The following is a 24,918-nucleotide window of genomic DNA, read 5'->3' as shown; positions in this document are numbered from 1 at the left end:
TGGAGGGTGGCCATTATACCTTTCATTCTGCTGTACATTATGATGGCCTTTTGGGGAAACTTGCCTAGTGTCTTTCCGGCCAGATTTTTAGTTTAACTTGCCACATCGCTTAATTTTCAGTGAATATCTTTAATTGTTATTGAAGATAGGGGTAATATAATATTCTCATTGTTATAATTAAGTACCCATTGTTGGTGTGCCATCCTTTGATCAATTTGAGGGAACAGAGTTTGCTTGTAACCCTGGTTCCATAATAGTTTGAAAGAGCAATCTCCCTTCTTTACATACAGGGAAGGTAGGTAGCTGGGAGCATGCTAAAGGCCAGTGCAAGCCTCCTTCCTGTTCCCCATTACCTTTTATTTCCTGCATCTTTAGCCATGTAACCTAAGCAAAAATGCTTAGACAGGGCCTTGCGAGAATATGCAGAAAGAGTATTTCTATAGTTAAAAAAAGGCAGGTGTGCCGGGCACGGTGGCTCATGCCTGTAATCCCAGCACTTCAGGAGGCCAAGGTGGGTGGATCACCTGAGGTCAGGAGTTAGAGACCAGCCTGGCCAACATGGTGAAACCCTGTCTCTACTAAAAATACAAAATTAGCCGGGCGTGGTGGCGCATGCCTGTAATCCCAGCTACTTGGGAGGCTGAGGCAGGAGAATTGCTTAAGCCCAGGAGGCGGAGGTTGCGGTGAGCCGAGATTGTGCCATTGGCACTACAGCCTGGGTGACAGATGGAGACTGTCTCAAAAAAAACCAAAAAACAAACAAAAAAACGTGGTGGGGGGTGGGTTGGTGAGCAACTTAAGAGTTTCAGGTAAAACCTCTACACTATGTGTCTTGGTTTTTAGGGCTTTGAAAGAATGATGAATGGGATGGAAAGGGAAAGTTTAATTAGGCTTTTGTTTTTGAGCATGTAAAAGGGGGAGTATTTATCAGCACTTCTTCTGTCTCCCCTCCCCTTAGGAAGAAAGGTGCACCTGGGAAGGTTATAGTGGGAATGGAGGTCTAATCACAGCACTTTGAGGCTCTGCAGACAGAGGGGTTCAGTGTAGGGCTTCTGCAAGTAACAAAGGCAAAAAGAGAGGCATGCTGGGCCCCATGGAAGGTCTGAAGTCAAGAGGAGGAATGCCAGGGTGAGGGAAGCAGGCAGGGACCTGCAAATCTGTGTCAGACTGATCCCTTGAGTGACTGCATGATAACTTGCAGTCTGTACTACTGTACTATTGAATGGTAGAGCATATTTTGGGAGAGGTGAAAAGGGGGGTTAGTATAGTCTCTATGCAGTATGGTTTTTAAATTCCAGCTAGCATCCCATAGTTAGAAATGTACATCAGAAATAATATACTCTAATTCTTTTAAAGTTATGTTTATTATTTTAATATTACTATTTTTTGAAAATTATACACTTAGTTTTGATAAAGTGTGTCTTTTATGAAGCAAGTAAAACTGTACACAGGAAGCATGGAAGTTATATAATCTGTAAATCAATCTTTTCATTCTAGGTCACATGTATATCATGCAATTACAAATCCAATACCATTGAGCCCTTTTGGGACCTATCCCTGGAATTCCCTGAACGCTATCACTGCATAGAAAAGGGGTTTGTCCCTTTGAATCAAACAGAGTGCTTGCTCACTGAGATGCTGGCCAAATTCACAGAGACAGAGGCCCTGGAAGGGAGAATCTACGCTTGTGACCAGTGTAACAGTGAGTGCTGTGTGGAGGAGGGGGCGTAGTGGGGAAGAATAATTGGAATATCAGTTTAAGGTGCTGCTTTGTCCTCTTTAGTCAAAAGTAACACTAATGATATTGAATGGTTCTAAAGCATCTTTTAAAGATCTTTTTCTCCCATTTTTCTAAAAACAAAAAACATGGACTTGTTTTAATTATGTATTAAAAAACAAAACAAGGCTGGGCGTTGTGGCTCACGCCTGTAATCCCAGCATTTTGGGAGGCCAAGGCGGACAGATCACTTGAGGTCAGGAGTTTGAGACCAGCCTGACCAACATGGTGAAACCCTGTCTCTACTAAAAATACAAAAATTAGCTGGGCATAGTGGCAGATGCCTGTAATCCCAGCTACTCGGGAGGCTGAGGCAGGAGAATCGGTTGAACCCAGGAAGCGGAGGGTGCAGTGAGCCAAGATTGCGCCATTGCACTCCAGCCTGGGCAACAGAGCAAGACTCCGTTTCAAACAACAACAACAACAACAACAAATGAAACAAAGACCTAGGAGTTGATTGACCTCCTGATTGACATTAGTTGTCATCTTGGAAGGGATTTTAAAGTTGTGGCTCCTGAAATGGGGACTCTGAGAATGTTAGTACTTAGCTTCTTAGTGCTGTGGGGCTGCTGCTTAAATTCATGAATGTAGAGTCTGACAGTTCTTACTTAATCTAAACCCAGATGGTATAGCCTTTCTGAAGGGTGCGATATCAGAAAAGCAAGCTTTTGTACTGAACTGGTAGACTTAATGTCTGTCAAAAGTGATGCTAAAGATTGGTACAGTGGAACCAAGAAAGCAAGTCTTAAGGTGCATTGCTCAGTGGCAGCTTCATGAAATATTTTCTGCATTTTGTTTTTATTGTTCACATGCCTGAAAAGTTCACATTTCAGAGAGGGTCATACGGAAGTATTTCTGTGTTGTCTGTAATTTTAAAATGGAACTCTTACATATGGTTACAGAGGCATGTTATCAGGGTCCTTCCATCTTGCCACACTAACACTTAATGCTTCTGCTAATCCAGTATGGACAGAGGAAATGCAGAACAAATATGTGGATGCTTATGTTTGGGGTTTGTGGCATATATAGATTTGGAAACTAAAAGTATAAAGTTAATGGACTGTGCAGAGACCTAGAAATCAATTTTCAGTCACATAATAGTTTAGATTACCAGTTTTGAAGAAAAAAAAAATCTTAGGCCAGGTGCAGTGGCTCACGCCTGTAATCCCAGGACTTTGGGAGACCCCAAGGTGGGCGCCACTGCACTCCAGCCTGGGTGACAGAGCGAGATGCTGTCTCAAAAAAAAAAAATAAATAAAAAATAAATAAATAAATAAATAAATAAATAAATAAATAAATAAAATAAAATAAAATAAAATAAAAAATAAAATAAAATAAAATAAAATAAATTGTGGGAAACCTGTTCCGCTCTTTGAAGAATCAGAACAAAAATCAAAAGTCAGGCTTGAGGCCAGGTGTAGTGGCTCATACCTGTAATCCCAACACTTTGGGAGGCCAAGGCAGGAGGATTGCCTGAAGCCAGGAGTTTGAGACCAGCCTGGTGGCATAGCAAGACCTCTTTTAGGGAAAATAAAAACAAAAACAAAAACCACAAAGTTATGCTCGATATCATTTTGCCATTTCAAAACAAAATTTGAAATTTTATACCTGGTTAACTATAGACTCACCTATCCTGTTCCATTTTGAGATACAGAGTCAGGTGAATCAAATTGTTTCATTAGAGTAATATTTAAAAAAAAAAAAACAGTGATTCCTGAAGCCTTTTACTTGTAAGGAACAAAAGAATATTAACAGCTTTAACTCCATCATTTTTGGATATGATAGATTAGGCAAGAAATAACTTTTGTTTATCTTTACAAGAAAGGATTGTTCTTTGGTTGTCAGATATGCCAATTTATCAGGATTTCTCTAGGCAAGTACAAATAATGGCAGAGAAGGAAACCTATGGTGAGGGGATGAGATGCATTGATCTGTTGCCTGTGAAGTTTCAAAACTGTCAGTCTTCTACCTGTCTTCCTGGCCAGCTTAATGAAATGGAGACAGAACTGATCAATCTCAGTTGAATCAGTAATTTCTTTTTCTTTGTGAATTTCATTTTAGGGAAACAAAGCCTGACTCTATATTGTCTTCATCTTAGCTCACATACTCCCTCTGCTGAAGGTGGCAGTCACTGCCAGGATTCCTAGCCAGAGCTGCAGTAATTTTCAAAAAAATGGTGAATAGGAATATAAAATAAGGCCAAGCCCCTCTGTGAATTCCATTTCTGTTCATGCCCCCACGTATTGTGACGACTACACCCTGGTAAAAGCTTCTCCTATGGCACACTCATTCTGATGCAGTCTATTATGAGAAGTTACACCTCCACATCCTATTGTCACAGAAAGCTCTGTGATACATCATCTGGCTGTGATTTGCTACCTTTCATGAGTAGTACAGACAGGACTTGGAATCAGATGCCCAGCTGCTCTTCAAACACTGAGCCCATGATATCAACAGCTCAAGACAATTAACAGGGACTGCAGTAGACCACTAATTTTCTACTCTCATCCATTTACCAATTTAATATAACAAAACAGTCATCAGTAAATGGTTACAGGAAAGGCTTCTGATAGAAACTAAGAGAACTCTATTTCCATTATTTATTTGCTGAAATTTAGAAATGCATTTCCTCAAGGCTGGGCACAGTGGGCTCACACCCATAATCCCAACACTTTGGGAGGCCAAGGTGGGAGGACTGCTTGAAGCCAGGACTTCGAGAAATGCATTTCCCCCACAGTTAGAAACAAAATTAGAGACTGATCACTGGTTCTGCTTTGGAGTAGATGAATTTAGCCTACCTGTCAGCTTTGTCCTTGCATGTCCAGCAATGTGCTTTTATCTAGGAAATATGTTTCAAAAACTACGCACAGCATAAAAATATAAAACAGTTTATTTTCTAAATGTTTGAATATGCCATAAGCAAATCATGCTAAAGAAAAAAATGTGTTTAAATACTCTATCATTTAGTAATCTTATCCTTTTTTTCCTAAGCCTGAAAGATATGCATTATTTCCTATTTTACTGGTGAGGAAACTGAGGTTCAGAGTTTTGAATAACTTATCCATTAGCACACAACTAGTTGTGAGCAGGAAGTAGAATTAGGCTTACCTAGTGCAAACAAAAAGCTTTTTAAAATCATATTGTGGGGTATCATAATTGAAGTTATAAGCCATTGTGAAGACATGGAACCTTAACATATGCTTCTACTCTATGTGCTTGCTGCTGCACGTTCCATTATATTCCATTATACGCAAAGTTGCTGATGGCAAAAATTGGAAAGATTTGAGTTGCTTGTAACAGTCGACCCAAATAACAATGACTTAAAATGAGAGATTTTATTGTTCTGTTACATAAAACAAGTCTGAAGGACATTCAGGGCCAGCATGGTGGCTGCATGGTCATCAGTGACCCAAGCTATTTCTGTTTTCTGTTTTACTATCCCATTGCAAGACTTCTGTCTTCAAAGTTACCTTTTGGTCCAGGAGGAATTCCAGCAGTTTCAGATAGTGGGAAGGCCAAAGGGATGTGCCTTACAACTGAGTCAGCCCTGTCTAAGCAGAGTCCCACACAGTCATTCCTTTCATCTTAGCCAGAACTTCCATGGCCACACCATGCAGGCGTGTGAAGCTGGGAAATGCAGTCATAAAGAGTGTCACATTGCGCCCCCCAAAAAATTGAGGTTCAGATACTGAGAAATATGGAGAATGCATATTGAATGGCAAGTCACTGTCTCTGCCATAGCTAGAAAAAACTCCTCACAACCTATGTCTTATACCTTCCCAAACCACATAGGCAAACGACGAAAATCCAATCCCAAACCCCTTGTTCTGAGTGAAGCTAGAAAGCAGTTAATGATCTACAGACTACCTCAGGTTCTCCGGCTGCACCTTAAAAGATTCAGGTGAGCTTGCTGTGGGAGTCCCAGCTGGGTGAGAGCTGTGGGAATAGCTGCTCCAAAGGCTTTGGTGAGGGCAAATGTCTTCTATGGTGTTGGGAGGGGAAGCCTGTTCACTTGAGACCTCGTGTTTTCCATGGAGATTAAACTGTTCACATCCACTAAGGCAAATTGATGTGGGAGCCCAGCAGGACTGGGCTTTTGCTCTCATGCTCCTGTGTAATTAATTATCCAGCCTGCACTGGGTGTCTGTGCTTAAAGATTTTCTAGCCTGGCTTGGACTTATGTAGATTCATCTTCAGGATGAAGTATAAAATAATCTGCAAAAGAAGCACAGGCAGGAAACTACAAAAAGACTGTTGCTTGAATTGCTTGTTTAGGGATCTCTAGGTTTAGAGTACTTCATGGAACATTAACAGCAAATAAATGGGCCAGGCGCAGTGGCTCATGACTGTAACCCTAGAACTTTGGGAGGCCAAGGTAGGCAGATTGCTTGAGCTCAGGAGTTTGAGACCAGCCTCGGCAACATGGTTAAAACCCTGTCTCTACAAAAAATGCAAAAATTAGCCAGGCATGGTGGTGTGCACCTATAGTCCCACCTACTCGGGAGGCTGAGGTGGGGGGATCACCTGAGCTCGGGAAGGTTGAAGCTGCAGTGAGCCTTTATCAATCACACCACTGCACTGCAGCCTGGGCAACAGAGTGAGACCCTGTCTGAAAATAAATAAATAAATAAATAAATAAATAAATAAATAAGTGTGAACATTGATTACCACCATTTTATTGATGGGAAAACCAAAACCAGAAGGTTAAATTTTCTCAGTTTCCTGTTTTATTAATACCTACCTCTACCTACGATTATATATGCCAGTTTTTACTAGTAACAAGCTTATATCCATGTTCTAGGTGGTCTGGCCGTAATCATCGAGAGAAGATTGGGGTCCATGTCGTCTTTGACCAGGTATTAACCATGGAACCTTACTGCTGCAGGGACATGCTCTCCTCTCTTGACAAAGAGACCTTTGCCTATGATCTCTCCGCAGTGGTCATGCATCACGGGAAAGGGTTTGGCTCAGGACACTACACAGCCTATTGCTACAACACAGAGGGAGGTGCGTGCGCTTTACTCTGTGGGGTGGGGGACACGGAAAGGGGTTGATTTGTCCACATTTTATTGTTTTCCTTTTATTTCCATCCCATGGATTACCTAGAGGGAAATTACATACATCAAAAATCCAGTGGAAAGAATTGTGAAAATTGGGTTGGGCGCCGTGGCTCACACCTGTAATCCTAGCGCTTTGGGAGGCCGCGGTGGGTGGATCACCTGAGGTCAGGAGTTCGAGACCAGCCTGGCCAACATGGTTAAACCCCGTCTCTACTAAAATAGTACAAAAATTAGCCGGGCGTGGTGGTGGGCACTGGTAATCCCAGGTACTCAAGAGGCTGAGGCAGGAGAATCGCTTGAACCTGGGAGGCAGAGGTTGCAGTGAGCCAAGATTATGCCACTGCACTTCAGCCTGGGTGACAGAGCAAGACTCTTATCTCAAAAAAAATAAAAAGAATTATGAAAGTTGGATTCAAATTTTGGGTATATTACTAAGTAACAACATATGGTTGTTCTAAGAATTAAAAGGAACTGACATGTAAAAGTGCTTAGAACAGGACCTAGGCCCTGTGCAATGGCTCACACCTGTAATTCCAACACTTTGGGAGGCAGAGGCGGGAGGATTGCTTGAGGCCGAGGGTTCAAGACTAGCCTGGGCAACATAGCGAGACTGCATCTCTACAAAAAATTTAAAAATTATCCAGGTGTAATGGTGTGCACCTGTGATCCTAGCTACTTGGGAGGCTGAGGTGGGAGAATTGCTCAAGCCCAGGAGTTTGAAGTTGCAATGAGCTATGATTTCACCACTGCATTCTAGCCTGGGCAACAGAGTGAGATCCTGACTCAAATAAATAAATAAGAAGAGCAGTTGCCTACCACATAGTACTTATTCAGTCAGTGTTAGAGGATATTGTAGTATTATCAAAAGTATTGGTTATTGATAATATTACTGTTTTGTGGTAATGCTACTTCTGCACACCCCAGTTTCCTTCTTGGTTATGCAGAAACAGTAGAACCTGTGTAACCTCAAGGAGATATTGTATGAATCTCACTAGCCGCAGCTTATAATAAAGCCGAGAACATTTACTGAGCACTTACTATGTTCTTACTACTTCCCCTGCCATGGGAAGTGTGGGGATGCAAGGGCCCCTCCAAAGGAGCTTTAGGTCCTCATCCTCCAGAGTGGAGTCTTCCAGCTACTGCACTGACTGATGGGCTGCAGATGTGTTTTCAGCTGTTCACTCTTCTTGAACTGCACAGCCCTTGGGGCAGCCAGAGCTTGTGAATAAATACTTTTTTGTTCCTTCTAAATTTTCCTTCATCACTCCCCTCTATTTCCATTTCTCCTCTCCTCCTCCTCTTCCTCCTCATCTCCCCATTGCTTAGCCTGCAGTATCGCAGCTCTTTCTAGAAGGCCCTAGTGGACAATGAAAAAGCCTGAAGAAAACAAAGATAAAAATTGCAGTCAGTCGGCTGGGTGCGGTGGCTCACGCCTGTAATCCCAGCACTCTGGGAGGCCGAGGCGGGCGGATCACGAGGTCAGGAGGTCGAGACCATCCTGGCTAACATGGTGAAGCCCCGTCTCTACTAAAAATACAAAGAATTAGCCGGGCGTGGTGGTGGGCACCTGTAGTCCCAGCTACTCGAGAGGCTGAGGCAGGAGAATGGCAGGAGAATGGCGTGAACCTGGGAGGTGGAGCTTGCAGTGAGCCGAGAACCCACCACTGCACTCCAGCCTGGGTGACAGAGCGAGACTCTGTCTCAAAAAAAAAAAAAAAAAAAAAATTGCAGTCAGTCGATAAGCAGTACCGTGGGGCTTGGTGGGGTTAAAGCCAGTGGATACACAAAAGTCTGTCAGTTTCATTTACCTGTCCCTTCCCCACCAATAATCGAGGGTTGGCTCTATTCAGAACTTCTCTGTCCCTTTCTTCATCTCCTGATTTTGCCTGCTGACTAAAATATGAATTGGGTAGTCATTTTCTCTCTTTTTCTCCTTTGGTTTCCTAGGTTTTTGGGTCCACTGCAATGACTCAAAGCTGAATGTATGCAGTGTCGAGGAAGTGTGCAAAACCCAGGCCTACATCCTTTTTTACACTCAAAGAACAGTGCAGGGCAATGCAAGAATCTCAGAAACCCATCTCCAAGCTCAGGTGCAGTCCAGCAACAATGATGAAGGCAGACCACAGACATTTTCCTGAATGGGAGGCATGTATCAAAGACTGGCTTTTGTGTATTGGTGTCCATACATCTTTCCTCTTATAGGAAATAAGGCTACTGCAGGAACAGATTACTAGGTTTGCCTTGCTGGGTCTAGAGTAGAAGGTGCCAGGTGATTCGTGTCCTGTCGTAAATTTTATAGTCTCTTTCTTTTGAATGAGTTTGGGAGTTCCCTCCTTTCCTAAAAACAAAAGAAGTAACTTCTATGAAGATCCTTTCATCAGTTGCTTCTGAATATAGAGGGATCTGGGTGGAGGAAAGCGGGGCGGGGGGGTAAATCAATCATATCCACACAGGAGAGCAGCCATGTTTTCTCTCCATGATGTGATTCCCCTGCTAATCAGGACCTCCTTGCAGCACCAGAAGAACCCTCCGGATGTGAGCAGTCCTGGACAGAGCACGTGAGGAGGGGCCCTGGGCTAGCAGTTTGCTGGATGGGATTGGCTCCAAGATGGGAGATGAAGTCTAAAGGGTTTATTCCCACAAAGGAAGTAACCTTCAAGGGTTTAAAACAAACTTCCTTTTTTGGGGATAGCAGCTGAAGAGTGGAGTGAGATGCATGGAACAAATTTCCCCATGCAAAGTGGGATGGTTTTCATATGTCATACCCTCCCTACTTGCTGCTGTCATATAATCATTCCATACTTCTGAGACTGGCATGAATACCCCTTCATTCTAAAGAAGGGGCAGGTCATATAAAGAAGCAATAGACTAGCACATGTTCCATGCTGAGCCAAAGGACACTCCTGGCTATCTCAGTTCTGTAGCAGATCCCTGGTTCAGGTCTAGGGCAAGCACATGGTTTGGTTTAAATTGATTCTTAGGTTTTCTCAGAACTCAATTGAGGGTGGGCAGAGATAGCTGATGCTCCAGGGCTTATTGAAGGCCTGTCACCCGTTCTCACTTCAGTGCGGCATGCAGCTTCTTAGCCTGCAGCTTCTTTCTTGCTCCTGGAGAGCTAGAACATTCATGTTCACAGGGTTTGGGAGCTTTTGGTTCTCTAGGGTATGTTAACTGCTTAGGAGTCCACCTCGTACATATCTGAAGAGTTGATTACCAATGGCCTTGACCTGTTTCCTCCCAAATCTGATAATCCCTACTGTTGCTTTACCCCCCATACTCAGTCCATCAGAGAAAAAAACAAGAGTGCCCCGTCCTTTCCCCCAGTGCTAGTAAAATACATCTTCCTTTTTAAATTGGGTCAGTTTCTAAACAGAATGAAATTGCCCAGATAAAAACCCTTGTCCCCATCAGGCACCACTTCATTCTTAGTTCTTCACTTAGATTTGCTGGTGAAAGTGAATGCAAACCCTAACTTTTGTTGCTGTGGTCACTGCAGTGAGCCTCACTCAACCTGTCACTATGAATGCTCATCTTTTGACTGAGTATATCATATTAATGTTTGAATTCAGGTAGAAGTACAGTTGTCACTTGAAGGGAGTAGATGTGGAAGGGCGTTCGGGGAGGAGTGGGAAGTGGGGAAAGCCAGGCTAAAGAATGAGGGTTATAGCTTTAGCAATGTTGATGAGCCACATTTCCCACACAGATCTGTAGCATTTGCTGTTGACCTCTTTTGAGATGAACTCTCCCATAGGCCCTGCCAGGCAGCACTGAGACATGGAGGAAATTCAGACAAAAAATGGCTCACCCTGATAGGGAAGGAGTGACTATATTTTAAATTAAACTTGCTTTTTCCAACACTGTGAGGTTTCTGTAATATTTAGCTTTTATTTGGAAGCGATAGCGTATGGCATTTTTTATGCTGTTTGGTTTATATTGTCTACTGCAGGCTTCTTTGTATAAGCTTTGCCTGGGCTCACCCTCTCCTGGACACTGTTTTAAAGTGTCACCGCTGTCCATGCTGCCAGAGGCTCTGATGTGAAGCTGTACTCTCAAGATCCACGTTTTTAAGTCGGCATGATTAGTAATGACTTTTTGTGGCAATAGAAAAGCCCATTAACTCAAAAAAACCAAGGAGAGTAAAAAGGAAAGGAAACTATGAATCGTGCCTCATCTTTCATTGAATCCTATATTTATTATTCTAGAAAAAAAGAACTTACAAGATAGAGAAGAACTAATAGAGCATCTACTTTACCCCTCAGGCTGTCCAGTGGGGATAATTATTAATAAACATTTAATGGAAAATTCAAAGATCTTCCAATTTAATTTTTAAAAATAGTTTTATACCAAATATTATAAGGATTTATTAAGCAGATTAAGGACTTTGTGAAATAAGTGCTTAACTTAGCTGAGCACGCATATATCAAAGTAATAAAAGAAACTAACATCAGAGTCTCCACTGAGCTACACATTTGTGAAAGGTGCCCACTGCAGTTACAGACACCTCAGGTACCCAGAGGCGGCAGCACTGGACACTTAGGACGTTAGTATTTAAGGAGATTTTTATTAAAGAAGAGTTCCCTGCTGCATAAGCCAATGGCTATTGTGAGGGAAATGTCCCTTTGCCTTTAATTTATTTACGTACTGGGTATAGATGAATGTCTCAGTTGCATCTGAAATTGAATCATTCTAAAGAGAAGAAAATAAGAACCAGGTAAAAACTGACTAGATGCTGCCAAATCAAACCCAAGGTCTCCTAACCGAACCTTAATGGGCCTGCTTCTCTCCCAGGGCAAGTAGTTAAGAGTCTCATTCCAGGAACCCTTTGTAGTTAGTTGGCTGGCATGTTTACTTGCTGCTGTAGCCAGCCAAGATGAGTGCACCTAGGCCCTCAAAAAGGATTTTTTTTTACCTCAATCTAGCCTGACCCTCATATCTGTGGTTGCCTCTGAGACGAACATCCATGCTAGTATAAAAATAGTTAGGAATGCCCTTGGCAGAACTGAAGCTCTTATTAAATGGTGGACAGAGCTCTTGCCAGCTTTGATCCAGCCCCTCAGTCTCGGAGTTATGGGGCAGGGTTGGGGGGCAGTGCTACACTGTAAAGAATTTCCAGGCTGGGCGCGGTGGCTCATGCCTGTAATCCCAGCACTTTGGGAGGCCGAGGAGGGCGGATCACAAGGTCAAGAGATTGAGATCATCCTGGCCAACATGGTGAAACTCCGTCTCTACTAAAAATACAAAAATTAGCTGGGCATGGTGGCACGTGCCTGTAGTCCCAGCTACTTGGGAGGCTGAGGCAGGAGAATCGCTGGAACCCAGGAGGCAGAAGGGGCAGTGAGCCGAGATCGTGCCACTGCACTCCAGCCTGGCGACAGAGCGAGACTCTGTCTTAAAAAAAAAACAAAAACAAAAACAAAAAAAAAAAAAGAATTTCCAGATGTCTCTTAAAATGTCATGAATAAAATTGGAAACTGTAGAAGTGTTAATGTGTCCTATGGACTCAATAGCAGAGTTTATTTTTGTTTTTAATGGCAAGGCTTCTAGAGTCAATGATTGTATGAGTTTGCTACTCTGGCTGTGCTTACAGCTTCATCCAAGTACAAGGGAAGAACCAATGAGGTGGATTGGCTGACAGTGGGGCATGCCCCAGCATAAGCCCTAGAGAGGTCGACAGTAGTGCAGAATGAAAACTTGGTCGGGGATGGCGGGTGGTGGGTGGGAGGAGGGTGGGCTGGCCGGGAGGGAGAAATGGAGTTTGTTCTACTTACTGATAAAGCTTTGTGAACTAATTTTATACAATTCATAAAATTTGGTGCCTTGTACTCAATTACGGTTTGCATGGAATTGAAAAGATTAAGGGAAAGGATTTCTTCTTGTCATTTCAAGTGGCAAATGGGTCTGTGTAGTGTTTAAAGGACATCTGGTATCACAGACTTTTAAAAAGCATTTCATGTCTCTTGTGTGTGAATGCAAATTATTCTTACCAGCAAGTTCTGAAATTATGTTACAATGTCCAAATTCTTTGTATTTGTGACTGTTCATCAAATGGCTGCTTTTCAAGGCAGACTGTGTACTCCATTGTTTTTCACTTCCCTTGTCATGTTCCATACATTGACTTGGGCCTTTTTAAATCAGGCTGGGGGGCTACCCCTTCTTAAATGAATACTATATCCCTATCTGAGGTTACCTCTTGTGAGTGGAAGGGTTGCTTTCCCAGGTGGTTGGGAGAGCACAAATGTTGAGAAAAGGCCTTTTAGTCTTTATCAAAACAATGACTAATGCTGGGCAACATATAGCAGAAGTCAAACAAAAATGATTCCTCCTGAAATGGTACCTTCATTGGTTCTGATGTTCTTTTGCAAAAAATGTCCGGAAGCAGTATAGAAAACCCCCTGTATGTGAACCTTAGATTGTAAGGCAAGCCAGTGCACTGTGTAATATGCAAAGGGAGTGGTGCAAAAGAGAAGGCACCCGTCCCAGCTCTCCATGCCCTTTCCCTGGCAGGCGCTGACTGAGATGGCGCTGAGTGAATGTGGAAGGTGCTAAGACCCAGTCTCTTCACTGCAGGGCTGTTTACAGCCAGTTTCTTTTACTCTGACCTTAAGGTTTCCACTGAGCTCATGAAACTTCAACATATGGTGTTTAAAAGTTTCCCACTCAAATGCACACTTGAAAATTGGGTCCCTCAGCCTCATTACTGAACTAAATAAGTGAAGAAGTTGTATCTTTGGGGTAAAACTTTCCAGGGCCACTTAATTTTTTAACCAGTTAAGTACGCATCTTCCTGGTGGTTCAGACTTTTTAAGTCAGTGCTAAAGCTGAAAAGCGCCTTCTAAATATGACTGTGAGTTTAGTTTGTATCTTACATTTAGTAACTGTTCTGTTGGGCCAGGACTATGACTTTAATTACTATGTACTTATTCATCCCACACTCTGCACTAAATACACCATAGCTACTATAGCATTGTGGCAGGCACTCATTTTTGTGGACTCATTCCATACTTCTGCTGGCATATTTCGTTTAAAATCTAGCTAAAGATTTTCATAGTACTGTGTTAACTAGCCAGGGCTGAAAAGTGTGACAGGATATCAAATTGACTTTCCTTGGGGAAAATGTTGCTTTGGCAATAGTGAAGTCCAACTCCTTCATTTACAGAATTAGTGATTACTCATCAATTTTTGAAAGTTGTAGATTAAGTAGTTTTATTTACTAAATTCTTAACCACTTTGAAGATTTAAGCCAGTTGAAATGAAACATTGGCTGGATGCAGTTGGCTAGCACCTGTAATCCCAACACTTTGGGAGGCCAAGGTGGGAGGATTGCTTGAGGCCAGGAGCTCAAGACCAGCCTGGGAAACATAGATTTGAAATCTTTTCAAAAATGTATAAAAATTTAATAAATAAATAAATGAATCCTTACTCAACCATAATTATGGCTTTAAAACCCAACCAACAGTAAACACTTACTTGAAGCCAAAACAGTAAATTTTGAATGAAATTTGAATTATGCTTTTGGAAGCTGCCATGTCTTAATTCTTGCTGGATTTTGATTTTCAATTTTGGAAGTTTTTATCAAAACTGTCCAGTCATGAGTATATCAGGTAGCAGCCTTTAAGGATCTAAGTTTCATTCCTATAAAGAACAGGAGGTGCTGGTATTTCTTGTCTTAGCAAGTGATCTGATGCAGGTCTAAATGGGGGTTAGCATCTATACTATGGCTTAAAAGTTTCCTCCTTGGTCACCATTTGGGAGGTGATGGCTTCAAAGCTAAGCTTTGCTCTCATGTGACCCTTCTTTATCTTAATACCCAATAAGATATAAACCTCTCAGAGTCAACCCAGTGTAGACTCAAAGGGTCTTAGCTTCATCTATCAGATAAGATCTATCTGATTTATACAAAGAATGGTGCTGTTTTTATATACATACTAAAAAAATCTAATTCTCAAACAATTTTCTTAATATTTATGCCAGCAAGGTCAGGAAAGACTATTTTGTCCTGTTTAACTTTAGTAGTGAACAAACTGCTAGAGACATCTGTCATCCTTAACAGGCCACTGTGGTCCTTATATACTGACCCTCCTTTCCAATTAACGTCCTTTAATCCCATACTAGTTCCATAAGAGACTTGGCACATAAAAGCAGTATTTTTTTTAATGCCTAGTAAACTGGCCAGAAAAAAATATTGCCATGGTGGACCTGTTTCTATCCACCTCTTTCTATGGCTATATAAGTCTATACATGCCAGTTCCGTACATACTCCATTTCCAAAGAGCCCCCAAACCCTGGACAGTAGCACTACCATGAATTTTAGGGTCACAAAACATTTCCTTCTGAAGGAAGCAGCTGCCTCAGCAGTGTCACTTTAGTGACCACTGCCCAGGCTTACTTCACTTTGCCTCCCCCTACACATCACTGCCCTCTTTCTGCCACCAAACCTCACTATTCCAGCAATGATGCCTCCCTGGTGTCTGGAAAACCCATCTGGTGCACTAAAATGCTATGCAACACCAAATGGCTTCTTCCCCTAATATTGCTCAACAATGTAAATTCTTCAAGAATAAACTTCATGCTAGGTTAACATCAATGTATGGTTACAGCTTCCTTTTTTTTTTTTCCCTTTTAAAATGAAGCAAACCACCTCCATTAAAATCCATGTTTTGGGGCTTGTTTTTGTCTCTCAAGTGTGAAATATAAATCATGTTTTTATGATTTTTGTAAATCTTTTTACACCTTGTTTTTGTAAGCAAAAGTTTCTTATTAAAAGAATAAAATGACTGCCTTTGTGTGCGGTATTTATTTCAAATGTTTTTTAAAACAGCACTGTTATTTCTCAGGACAAGAGCAAAAATCACCCCCTGCAGAAGCTTGGGAACTATGTACAGAACTTTACAGAATAGAGGCAATACTTTAGCTTAAGCCTGTCTGCTGACCAGAGAATGGAATTCTGCGTGGACTCAAGGAACAAAAGGAAACTAGGCAGGGAAGGGGAAGAAAAGTGCCCATCTGAATCAAACTTCAGCTGCCATCAGGGCACATCTTGTGGTGGTCACAGATTGTAGGCTGTTTTTTGGAAGATTCGGGTTCAGCACAGGATTCCATTTGTCTGCAATCAGATGATAAGACGACAGGTGGCATTAGAACTGTAAAAGTATGGGAGGGAAACTGGTAAGAGATACTTAAATCCCTTTCAACATCTGAAAACACATTTAACTAGGAATAGTTAAGGGTTTTACATCACATTCTTTTGTACATTTCATGAATACTTGACAGAAAACATTGCTTCACCCAGTCTCTAGGTCTCCTAAGACACGCATGGGTGTAGTTCAGTGCTTACCTACTTGGCTACACCCCTGGCTGAGGTGCCATGAGGTCAATGTCACTCAAGTTCCTGGCCAGCCAAACTCCCGCAGCAAAGAGTCCCAAATTTAGTATCAAGTTCCTGGAAAAACAATGTGTTTTATTAACCCTGTGGTCACTGAGTCAGTTGTACAGTTAACGAAATGTACTGGGGGGAAAGGCTTCCATCACCACCTTCCCGAGGCGTTGATACGTGGTTGTGACGGCAGGTTGCTCAAGACCCACGTGGGAATTTGGAGTTCATTTTTGTGCCTAGTAAGTGTAAGGTCAGGCTGGGCGCGGTGGTTCACGCCTGTAATCCCAGCACTTTGGAAGGCCAAGGCAGGCGGATCACGAAGTCAGGAGCTCGAGACCAGCCTGGCCAACATGGTGAAACCCCGTCTCTACTAAAAATACAAAAATTAGCTGGGCGTGGTGGTGCGCGCCTGTAATCCCAGCTACTGGGGAGGCTGAGGCAGGAAAATCGCTTGAACCCGGGAGGCGGAGGCTGCAGTGAGCTGAGGTCCGCCACTACACTCCAGCCTGGGCGACAGAGCGAGGCTGTCTCAAAAAGAAATAAATGTGGCCGGGCGCGGTGGCTCACGCCTGTAATCCCAGCACTTTGGGAGGCAGAGTCGGGTGGATCGAGAAGTCAGGAGTTTGAGACCAGCCTGCCCAAGATGGTGAAACCCCGTCTCTACTAAAAATACAAAAATTAGCTGGGCGTGGTGGCGCGCGCTTGTAATCCCAGCTACTGGGGAGGCTGAGGCAGGAGAATCGCTTGAACCCGGGAGGCAGAAGGGGCAGTGAGCCGAGATTGCGCCTCTGCACTCCAGCCTGGGCGACAGAGTGAGACTCCGTCTCAAAAAAAAAAAAAAAAAAAAAAAAAAAGGCCGGGCGTGGTGGCTCACGCCTGTAATCCCAGCACTTTGGGAGGCCGAGGCGGGCGGATCACGAGGTCAGGAGATCGAGACCATCCTGGATAACACGGTGAAACCCCGTCTCTACTAAAAATACAAAAAATTAGCAGGGCGTGGTGGCGGGCGGCCGTAGTCCCAGCTACTCGGGAGGCTGAGGCAGGAGAATGGCGTGAACCCGGGAGGCGGAGCTTGCAGTGAGCCGAGATCGCGCCACTGCACTCCAGCCTGGGCAACAGAGTGAGACTCCGTCTCAAAAAAAAAAAAAAAACAAAAAAGAAATGTAAGATCAAACGCAAAGCCCAGCTAAAGCACTAGTCCAGGGCCGAAAAAGCCTGTTTACGTGCTAGCACTTCTTCCCTTGATCAGGGTGACATTACAGATACAGCCACATGACAGAAAGATCGCTTTTGCCACACGGGAACTCTCCTGGCCAGGGATCTCAGTGAGGCACAGCCAGAGCTACGAAGACGCCACAATGCTGGTAATGTTAAAAAACAAAAACAAAAAACCCTGAGGCGCCAGCCTCGCAAGAAAGGGGAAATACGGATTTAAGGGCCAGAAAAGGACCAAGTTCCTCGGGCTCGGTTACCTCCGGAAGTCATTCCTATCAGTGGCAAAGCGGTAGACGCCCCGAAGCCAATCTCCCACGTTGTCCGGTATTTCGGGAGTTTCATTAGCCGAGCCAGCAGCGCTCACCGGGACAGTGCTGGAAGCCATAGTGGAAAGCTTCGCATGGGCCTCGGTGGAGGAACCGTATCGGCGTCGCCGGTGAATGACGCACCTCCGGTCTGGCACTTCCGGCTGCTACCGGCCGGCAGTGGGGGCGCTGTTCGCTTAGTCCGACATCCGGAAGAGGGACGGCCCTCTGCTGCGCCTCCACGAACTCTAGGAGGGGAGGAGCGCGGCCCGGTTCTACGGTCCCCTGCTCCCGGTCCCACCTCCGGCTCTCCAGCCGGTAACTGTCACGCGTGCTGTGATCATTTAATTGGCTTGGGAGGAGGATGGTGGGGACGGGGCTGTCCCAGCCTGTGGAGGTGGGGGTAGGGGCTATCTCAGCAGGGGAAGCGTAGCTTTGGGGAATGGGTTTTGCCAAGAAAGTCTCCGCCAAAAGTCTTAGAACGCGCAGTACTGAAGGGGGCGCACTCCAAACTTGTCACCTCGCCGCCTCTTGCGGGCGTGCGCCTGACTGCGTCTCAGTCTAGGATTGTTAGGGGGAGGCTAGCCTTGTTCTCCCGCTTTACAGACCCCTTTCCTCCCACTCACATCCCCTCTCTGAGCTGCGCCACTAGCACATGGTGCAGTGCGTCTTAGAGGCGTTGCTGTCCTCTGCTTGGAGGCTTCCGGGGGTCTTCCAGGACTGGGGAAGGCGCTCGCCTAAGAAAAATCCTTCAGGTTCCGAGTCAGAGGAGGAGGAGCAGGTGGAGAAAGGGGTGTCCTTGGGATCACGAATAGTCTCCAGGCGGCATTGCTCCTGCCCTTTGGGTGCCTCCGCTTTGTCCCCAGGTCGGTTCTCCTGCTGGGGACTGGATCCAGGCAGCCCCCTCTGAGTTTGCAGGCTGGAACCGCCGGCAGCAGCGAGGAGTGTTCGGGAGAGGGTTGCAGAGTTCACCGAGGTTTGGTCCCTTCCTTCAGTTCGGTCGAGTCCAGTCTCCCCTGTTCCGGGCCGGGTCGGAAACGCTGGTCTCAGAGCCGCGGAGCTGGACCTACACCGCAGCTAGTGGGGGTGAGGCCCAGCCTCCCGCCCCGCCCAGCCCCTGGGCCGTGCGCGCCGCCGCCGCCGCCGAGAGTCCTCGCCAGGGTCCCCCGCCTCCACCAGAGGGCGTCCGCCTCCCGCGCCTGGGAGGGAGTCTGGCGCCGCAACCCCGACCGCGGCGCGGGGTGGGTTCGGGCGGCCCTTGGAACGCTCCGGCCAGGGATGCGCGGTGAGAGCTGCGGGCCCCGAGGCTTGGGTCTGGGGGGTGCGGTGGGGGCGCTCCTGGAGGGACGGGACGGCGTGGGACCGGGGCGAGGGTCCCAGCCCGGGAGAACCCCCACAGCCCAGCCCAAGCTCCCTCCCGCTTTGCTCTGCATCCTCTCCCTTACCAAGGAATGCCTGCCCTTCCAGTGCCCCGGCCCAGCTCGAGCCTGCATCCGAGTAGCGGTTCTCGAAGCAGCTGGGGCAGCAGGGGCTTCCCCCAGGCAGGGCATAACGTCCCCCGCCCAGAGGCCCGGCGCAGTCCTGGCAACAGAAGTGGTTCTCATGCCAGCGCTGTCCCTCCGCCTCGGTGCAGCGCCAGGAGAAGATCAGCTGGGAGAGGGAGAGGGAGAGGGGAACGTTTCATTCATTCATTCCCTCATTCATTCATCCAGTAACCACGCCTTTTACCCAGTTAACGCTAAAGCACGTCTGCACACATTCCCATTTAATTCACTCAGCCACTTTTGGACGCAGGGAGGACTGATTGGCTTAGCCAGGATCCCAGCTAGCAAGTGGGACAATCCCCAGTGCGACCTGGGGGTCTGGACTCCCAACCCAGGGCTCCAGGCTTCCTTTTATGCTGACATCAAGGGAATTTCTAGCATGATGAGGCACAGCACTGGGCACTCGGCATCTACTGAGATGAGCATGTGTCCAAGACTCCCTGCTCTAGAGAAATTCGATGAGTCCAGGAACATTTGAGGGACTCTGCAGTGGGGGAGGCCAGAGAGAAGGGCACTGGGTCCTACATGCCCAGAGCTCAAGTCAGAACACAGGGAACTTGGTAGTCCCAGGCTGGTTCCTACTTCTCCCCACTCCCTGATACTGGGAGAAACTGTGGCCCAGGAGAGTGTCCCTTTGTATCCTGCCACTCTGGACTCTGGGCAGACCCCCAGTTCCTCCCCTCCAGGCTGTACCTGGTCACAAGCCGGGCAGCGCGGGCGCAGCAACTCTGCATGATGACGGCCGCAGTAGAGTTGTCCATCATGGTAGAAGTAGATGAGGTTTATCAGGGCCTGGCCACAGGCCTGGCAGGCAAAGCAAGGCTGGTGCCAGCAGCGCTGTTCCCCTGCCCGGGCTGCAAACACTCCGTACTCCCCTGGCTTCAGCAGCTCCCTACACTGTCAGAGGGGAGGTGCTGAGGTGGTCGGAGTAAGCACTACCATCCTAACTTCCCTCCTTGCTCTTGCAATCCGATCCCAACCTGTTCTCGCCATACCCTAGCAAGCCCACATCCACTGCAACCTATACCAAGAGCTTGCAAACTTGGTTTCTGTTTTTCCTGTTTCCCAACCAGAATCCCAGAAGCTAGCCCAGCCCCTTCTGCAGAAATGAGAGGGCAAAGAATAGAGGAAGGGGAATTTGGGGGGAGGGGTGCTACATACCTTCTCACAGGTGTGTCCTTCAAGCTTGGGAAGTACCAGGCGGGCTACCCCCTGTCCCAGGGCTTCCTGCTTCCGCCTGGCACAGAAGAGCTGCAGCTCGGCCCGCTCCTCCTCCCCAAGGGCCAGGCAGTAGCGCTCCTGCAGAAACAGTCCTCTACAATTACTGGGAGAGCTCCAGCAGAAAACATTGAGCATTGGTTGGAGGAAAAAGGGCTTGGCTGCTGGGTCAGAGAAAGGTTGTAGAACCTCAGGGAGATGCCAGAGATAATGGCATAGAAGAGGAAATGGAAAAGGAAAGGAGCTCAAGAAAGCCACCTCAGTCTCACCCTGCCCCACTAGGAATGTCATCAATCAGGTCCTGACAGGCCCACAGCACTTAGCCCTGTCACCATTAGGTCCTTGTTCCCAATGAGCTAAGAGCTCAGTATCACTTCCCATTCTTGCATTTCCTCAAATTATTTCATATACTCCTGTCTTGCCTCCCCAATTGAATTGTAAGCCTTTAGGCTGGACACATGTAGACCCTCAATAAATACGTAACAACCATACTCTCTACATTTGTACATTCCATTATCCGTTTCAAAAGTCGTTCATGTCCATTTTCTCATTTGCTCTTGAACTAAGCATTGTGGTGGGCAGAGCAGATGTTATTGCACCTGCTATTGTTATTGCCAATGTGAAAACTCAGGCAGGGGGAGAATGACGCCCCAACCAGTGCCATAGCTGGGCATTAAATCCACATCCCCTAACTTCTGGACTGAGGTTCTTCCCACAGTAAGAAAAGAGATGAGGGAGGGAAAGGCAAGAGAGGGAAGATGGGGAGAGGAGACCCACATCAATGTCCTGCGGAGGGAGTTGCTGCAGGAGGGTCTGAAGTCCAGTCCAGTTGGGGGCTTGGTTGGTGTCCAGGCAAAGGGAACCCAAGCTCAGAACTGCAGGACCCTGAGGAGACATGGAAGAAGGGGAGGAGTGAAACTAGGTTTTTCTTTCCTTTCTCCTTCTTTCCCCCTCATCATTGCCACCTCTTCTCCAATCTAGAGCAGCTTCTAAGCATGCCCTCCATTTGGGAGGGTCCTCCTTGCAGATCCTCACTGAGTGCAAGGATAGCTGACTGATGCCTGCATGTGTGGTCTTCCTTGAGGGAGGCTGGGGAGGCCCCACACCCCAAAACAGCTTCCCTTCTTATGCTTTCCCTTCTTAACCCCCTTCACGCCTTGGGGCCAAAGCCCCTAGAGTCTGGTTTGACAATACAGACCCCCTAGGAGAGATAATGAATACTCATGTGAATGAGTTTAAAGTCAAAACCCCATGTTCTAAGCAGGTGCAGAGACAGGAATTCCTGAAAAGAGAAAAAGGCAACAAGAGATTAGGCACGAAGTCAAACTACCTCCGGGTTGGTGGAAAAGGGTGGCCACTCCACAGGATAGAGGACATGTTGGTCTCAGAGGAAGGGCACGACTCTACTACCTGAGCATGGGTATCCTCAGGGTCCTCCCCCGGCAGGTGGCCTGAGTCACTGTCTGAGTTGGCTGGTGGACCTGGATCCTGGGGCTTGGGGCTGTCTTCTTGGTGGGGCCAGCCAGAGTTCTGCACTGACATTTGTGGCAAAGCCTACCCCAAAACAATAAGAACACCTCCATGTATTAGGCCGTTACAATGTGCTAGGAAGTGTTAAGTGCTTTATAGATATTATTTCCCTCAGTCCTCCCAACACCCAAACGACTTAGGTAGCATTATCCCCATCTTACAGATGGCCCAACTGAGGATCAGACCTTGAGTAGCATGCCCAAGGTCAAACAGCTAGTAAGTGGCAGAGCCAGGACTTGAGGTCAGGTCTTTTGGTCCAGAATTTCTGAAGTTCAAATTCTGGGGTCTCCCAAGATCAGGATGGAGGTAAGAGGAGGCCCATGGTAGAAGGAGAGGGCACTTTGCCTTTCTGGTGGGCCTTTGGACACTCTCTCCTTACCTCATCAGCCTTAACTTCCACCGTTTCTCACCATGCACCCACAGCCCCAGTGAGCCTCCTTGTTCACAACTTCCTACATGGGCCCAGGTTTTCCAGCTATATAGGCTTGGGCCTCTGGTTAAAGGATCCCCTTACTAGGAAGCCCTTCTCAGCCTCTGTGACCACACCAGCTCTCCCTTCCCTGAGCTCCTGAAGCAAGCAGTGCCCCAAGATTTAGCACCTAATGTTTTTCTCTTTGCTCCCTGCATCTCTCTCGGCTCCTAATCTAGTCTATAAGTTCCTCAAAGACAGAGGAACACCTTGCACTTTTATATATAGCAGCAATTGCATTGGATAATCTAAGTTCATCTCTTCAGCTTTCCTCTCGGCAGCTCCTGATATGACCATAATATCTTGGGGGTAAGAAGTGACTATTGGCTGGGCACGGTGGCTCACGCCTGTAATCCCAGCACTCCGGGAGGCCGAGACAAGCGGATCACGAGGTCAGGAGATCGAGACCATCCTGGCTAACACGGTGTAAACCTCCTCTCTACTAAAAATATTAAAAAAATTAGCCGGGCGTGGTGGCGGGCGCCTATAGTCCCAGCTACTCCGGAGGCTGAGGCAGGAGAATGGTGTGAACCCGGGAGGTGGAGCTTGCAGTGAGCCAAGATCGCGCCACTGCACTCCAGCCTGGGCGACAGAGCAAGACTCCGTCTCAAAAAAAAAAAAAAAAAAAAAGAAGAAGTGACCATTGGCTGGGCACAGTGGCTTATGCCTGTAATCCCAGCACTTTGGGAGGCTGAGGCAGGCAGATCACCTGAGGTCAGTGGTTCGAGACCATCCTGGCCAACATGGGGAAACCCCATCTCTACTACAAATACAAAAATAAGCTGGGCGTGGTAATGTGTGCCTGTAATCCCAGCTACTCCAGAGGCTGAGGCAGGAGAATCGCTCCAACCTACCTGGAAGGCAGAGGTGGCAGTGAGCTGAGATCATGCCACTGCACTCCAGCCTGGGCAACAGAGTGAGACTCCGTCTCAAAAAAAAAAAAAAAAAAGCGACTATTAATGTAGAGAAGAGATGAGCCCCGCCCTCAAGGAGCTCATAGTGGGTAAGACAAAGATGAAACCAGGTAGAATGGGATCAATCAGAGCTCGGGACAGACATACAAAAACCCTGGAGAAAAAAATAACCAGAGCAAACTTTTTAATAATATTTACTCTGTGCCAAGGACTCTTCTAGAATATTACATAATATAGTCCATCCTCACAATAATCTTATGAGGTAATCTCTTTCATTCCACTTGACAGTTGAAACAAGTTAATTAACTTGCCCAAGATCATACCAGAGGCTAAGGGAAGCCTTAGGGGGACCTGGCTTCTGAGAGCTGGGATAGATTCTGAAAGTAGCTGGGCACAGGAGGGTCATCATCAAATCCCTGGCCTCTAAGACTGGGCCAGGGATTCGTACTGGGGTTGAGGTGAGGGTTTGGACTGTAACAGTTAATATTGCTTCCCAGCACTGAACCCTCCTCAGCACCGCCCCTCCACTCCCACTTCAAATGTCCTGTGCCACCCTTCCCTCCTTCCTGGCTTCACACCCACCTGCTTCCTTCCTCTTCTGTCCTTCAGGTCAGGTTTCCTGTGGAAGGTGGCCAGGATGGGCTGTTCACACCAGGAGTAGCCACTAACAGCACTGCCCCTGCTCCAGGCAGCAAGAAAGGAGGGGGCGTCTGGGGCCCCAGGAGGGGACTTGCACCCTCTTCCATTTTGGCTCTAGTTTGCATAGAATTGTCCAACACAGAAACAACACTCAGAAATCAGGCCTCTATTCCTCACCCTTCCAATCTCCCCAAAGGCAGCCAAACTCCACCTCCACCTAGCACTGGAACACCCTTACTAACAGGCCAGCTGGATTCCTTCCATAATTCCCTTCCCCCTCCCACCTCAGATAAGGGACAGAGCTGAACCCCTTGTCTTGCCTCCGTGCAGAGCCTCCGTGCAAGAGGGCTCAGGAGCTGGACATCCCCAACACCCGCTGCCCTGAAGGGCAGAGCCCGAGAGGACTTAGGGCTTGGGGAGGTGGAGGGATGGGAAGATTTCTGGGGACAGTGGGAGGGAGAAGGAAGGGGAGTGCCCAGTCCCGCCAACTGCCCTCTCGATAGATCCCCAGAGTTTTTCTGGAACTTGGCGGGCCCGCCTCCGGGGCTGGGACGCGGTGTTTCCCGAGTCCGCTGGGGTTCCCGGTCTGGCTGCTGGGATTTTAGGGGAGGGGACCAGGACTCCGCTGGGGTCTCACCCTCGCTGTGCGTCGCTGTCCGGGCAGTTCTGGACCGACTCTGCCGTCAGGCCCCTCACCCGGTCCCCACCCCAAGGCTTCAGCGCCCGCCCCCGTCCGCCCCCGCCCGCCCTAATAGCGCGGCCCTTCCTCTCCCACGCCCCAGCGGCCCCCGCCCGCCCCTCCCCGGCTGGTGGAGAGGGGCGGCTCAGGGAGGGGCCTGGAGCTGCAGATTGGGGGGAGGAAAAAAAAAAGGAA

General features: G+C 46.8%; 3 protein-coding genes across 6 annotated transcripts in view, besides 4 other annotated features; 1 reads left to right on the top strand and 2 right to left on the bottom strand.

The window, feature by feature from the left end:
* Positions 1 to 15,612, top strand: part of USP49 (ubiquitin specific peptidase 49) — a 105,480-nt gene extending 89,868 nt beyond the window's left edge. For 2 of the 3 annotated variants that reach the window (NM_001286554.2, NM_001384542.1), the window contains exons 5-8: positions 1,498 to 1,702; positions 5,570 to 5,678; positions 6,579 to 6,784; positions 8,785 to 15,612. In NM_001286554.2, coding sequence (NP_001273483.1) covers positions 1,498 to 1,702; positions 5,570 to 5,678; positions 6,579 to 6,784; positions 8,785 to 8,975 — 711 coding nt within the window. In that variant the 3' untranslated portion in view covers positions 8,976 to 15,612. Of the gene's footprint in view, positions 1 to 1,497; positions 1,703 to 5,569; positions 5,679 to 6,578; positions 7,864 to 8,784 lie in introns of those variants that run through there. The other variant, NM_018561.5, reaches the window with a different exon arrangement.
* Positions 3,743 to 4,037: a silencer, noted in NCBI's record as "tiled region #15280; HepG2 Repressive non-DNase unmatched - State 12:CtcfO". NCBI's record gives its function as "represses a minimal TATA promoter and a strong SV40 promoter by Sharpr-MPRA in HepG2 cells {active_cell/tissue: HepG2}" and the evidence as "EXISTENCE:reporter gene assay evidence [ECO:0000049][PMID:27701403]".
* TOMM6 (translocase of outer mitochondrial membrane 6) lies at positions 15,613 to 17,814 on the bottom strand. 2 transcript variants are annotated; one of them, NM_001134493.2, is made up of 3 exons: positions 17,683 to 17,814; positions 16,172 to 16,276; positions 15,613 to 15,977 (listed from the first exon to the last, which is right to left on the bottom strand). In NM_001134493.2, exons 1-2 carry the CDS (start codon positions 17,808 to 17,810, stop codon positions 16,180 to 16,182), a joined length of 225 nt encoding a protein of 74 aa, NP_001127965.1. In that variant the 5' UTR covers positions 17,811 to 17,814; the 3' UTR covers positions 15,613 to 15,977; positions 16,172 to 16,179. The 2 variants fall into 2 exon arrangements, with proteins under 2 accessions (NP_001127965.1, NP_001369223.1); NM_001382294.1 differs by having other exon boundaries at positions 15,613 to 15,940.
* Positions 17,127 to 18,126: an enhancer, noted in NCBI's record as "H3K27ac-H3K4me1 hESC enhancer chr6:41755120-41756119 (GRCh37/hg19 assembly coordinates)". NCBI's record gives its function as "activates a minimal SCP1, AML or CMV promoter by ChIP-STARR-seq in naive H9 embryonic stem cells {active_cell/tissue: H9 hESC(naive)}" and the evidence as "EXISTENCE:reporter gene assay evidence [ECO:0000049][PMID:30033119]".
* Positions 17,367 to 18,056: an enhancer, noted in NCBI's record as "active region_24528". NCBI's record gives its function as "activates an Ori minimal core promoter by ATAC-STARR-seq in GM12878 lymphoblastoid cells {active_cell/tissue: GM12878}" and the evidence as "EXISTENCE:reporter gene assay evidence [ECO:0000049][PMID:35858748]".
* Positions 18,056 to 24,726, bottom strand: PRICKLE4 (prickle planar cell polarity protein 4). Its single transcript, NM_013397.6, has 8 exons — positions 24,682 to 24,726; positions 23,988 to 24,158; positions 21,903 to 22,046; positions 21,270 to 21,377; positions 20,436 to 20,573; positions 19,968 to 20,171; positions 19,176 to 19,380; positions 18,056 to 18,746 (listed from the first exon to the last, which is right to left on the bottom strand). Exons 3-8 carry the CDS (start codon positions 22,032 to 22,034, stop codon positions 18,379 to 18,381), a joined length of 1,155 nt encoding a protein of 384 aa, NP_037529.3. The 5' UTR covers positions 22,035 to 22,046; positions 23,988 to 24,158; positions 24,682 to 24,726; the 3' UTR covers positions 18,056 to 18,378.
* Positions 18,747 to 19,266: a silencer, noted in NCBI's record as "silent region_17194". NCBI's record gives its function as "represses an Ori minimal core promoter by ATAC-STARR-seq in GM12878 lymphoblastoid cells {active_cell/tissue: GM12878}" and the evidence as "EXISTENCE:reporter gene assay evidence [ECO:0000049][PMID:35858748]".

This window comes from Homo sapiens, chromosome 6, assembly GCF_000001405.40.
Source record: "Homo sapiens chromosome 6, GRCh38.p14 Primary Assembly".
Lineage (NCBI taxonomy): Eukaryota > Metazoa > Chordata > Mammalia > Primates > Hominidae > Homo > Homo sapiens.
Note: the sequence above shows the minus strand (reverse complement) of the source record. Positions and strands in the feature narration are given on the sequence as shown.

Coding starts and splice junctions, on each gene's coding strand:
- PRICKLE4 (NM_013397.6), bottom strand. CDS start 22,034: ATGTCAGTGCAGAACTCTGGCTGGCCCCACCAAGAAGACAGCCCCAAG. Junction 20,172..20,435: donor AAGGACACACCTGTGAGAAG/GTATGTAGCACC, acceptor CCCCTCTGACAG/TGTAGGGAGCTGCTGAAGCC. Junction 18,747..19,175: donor GGAAGGGCAGGCATTCCTTG/GTAAGGGAGAGG, acceptor GGCCCGGAACAG/GGGAGACTGGACTCGACCGA.
- TOMM6 (NM_001134493.2), bottom strand. CDS start 17,810: ATGGCTTCCAGCACTGTCCCGGTGAGCGCTGCTGGCTCGGCTAATGAA. Junction 16,277..17,682: donor GATAGGAATGACTTCCGGAG/GTAACCGAGCCC, acceptor TTGTTTTTCCAG/GAACTTGATACTAAATTTGG.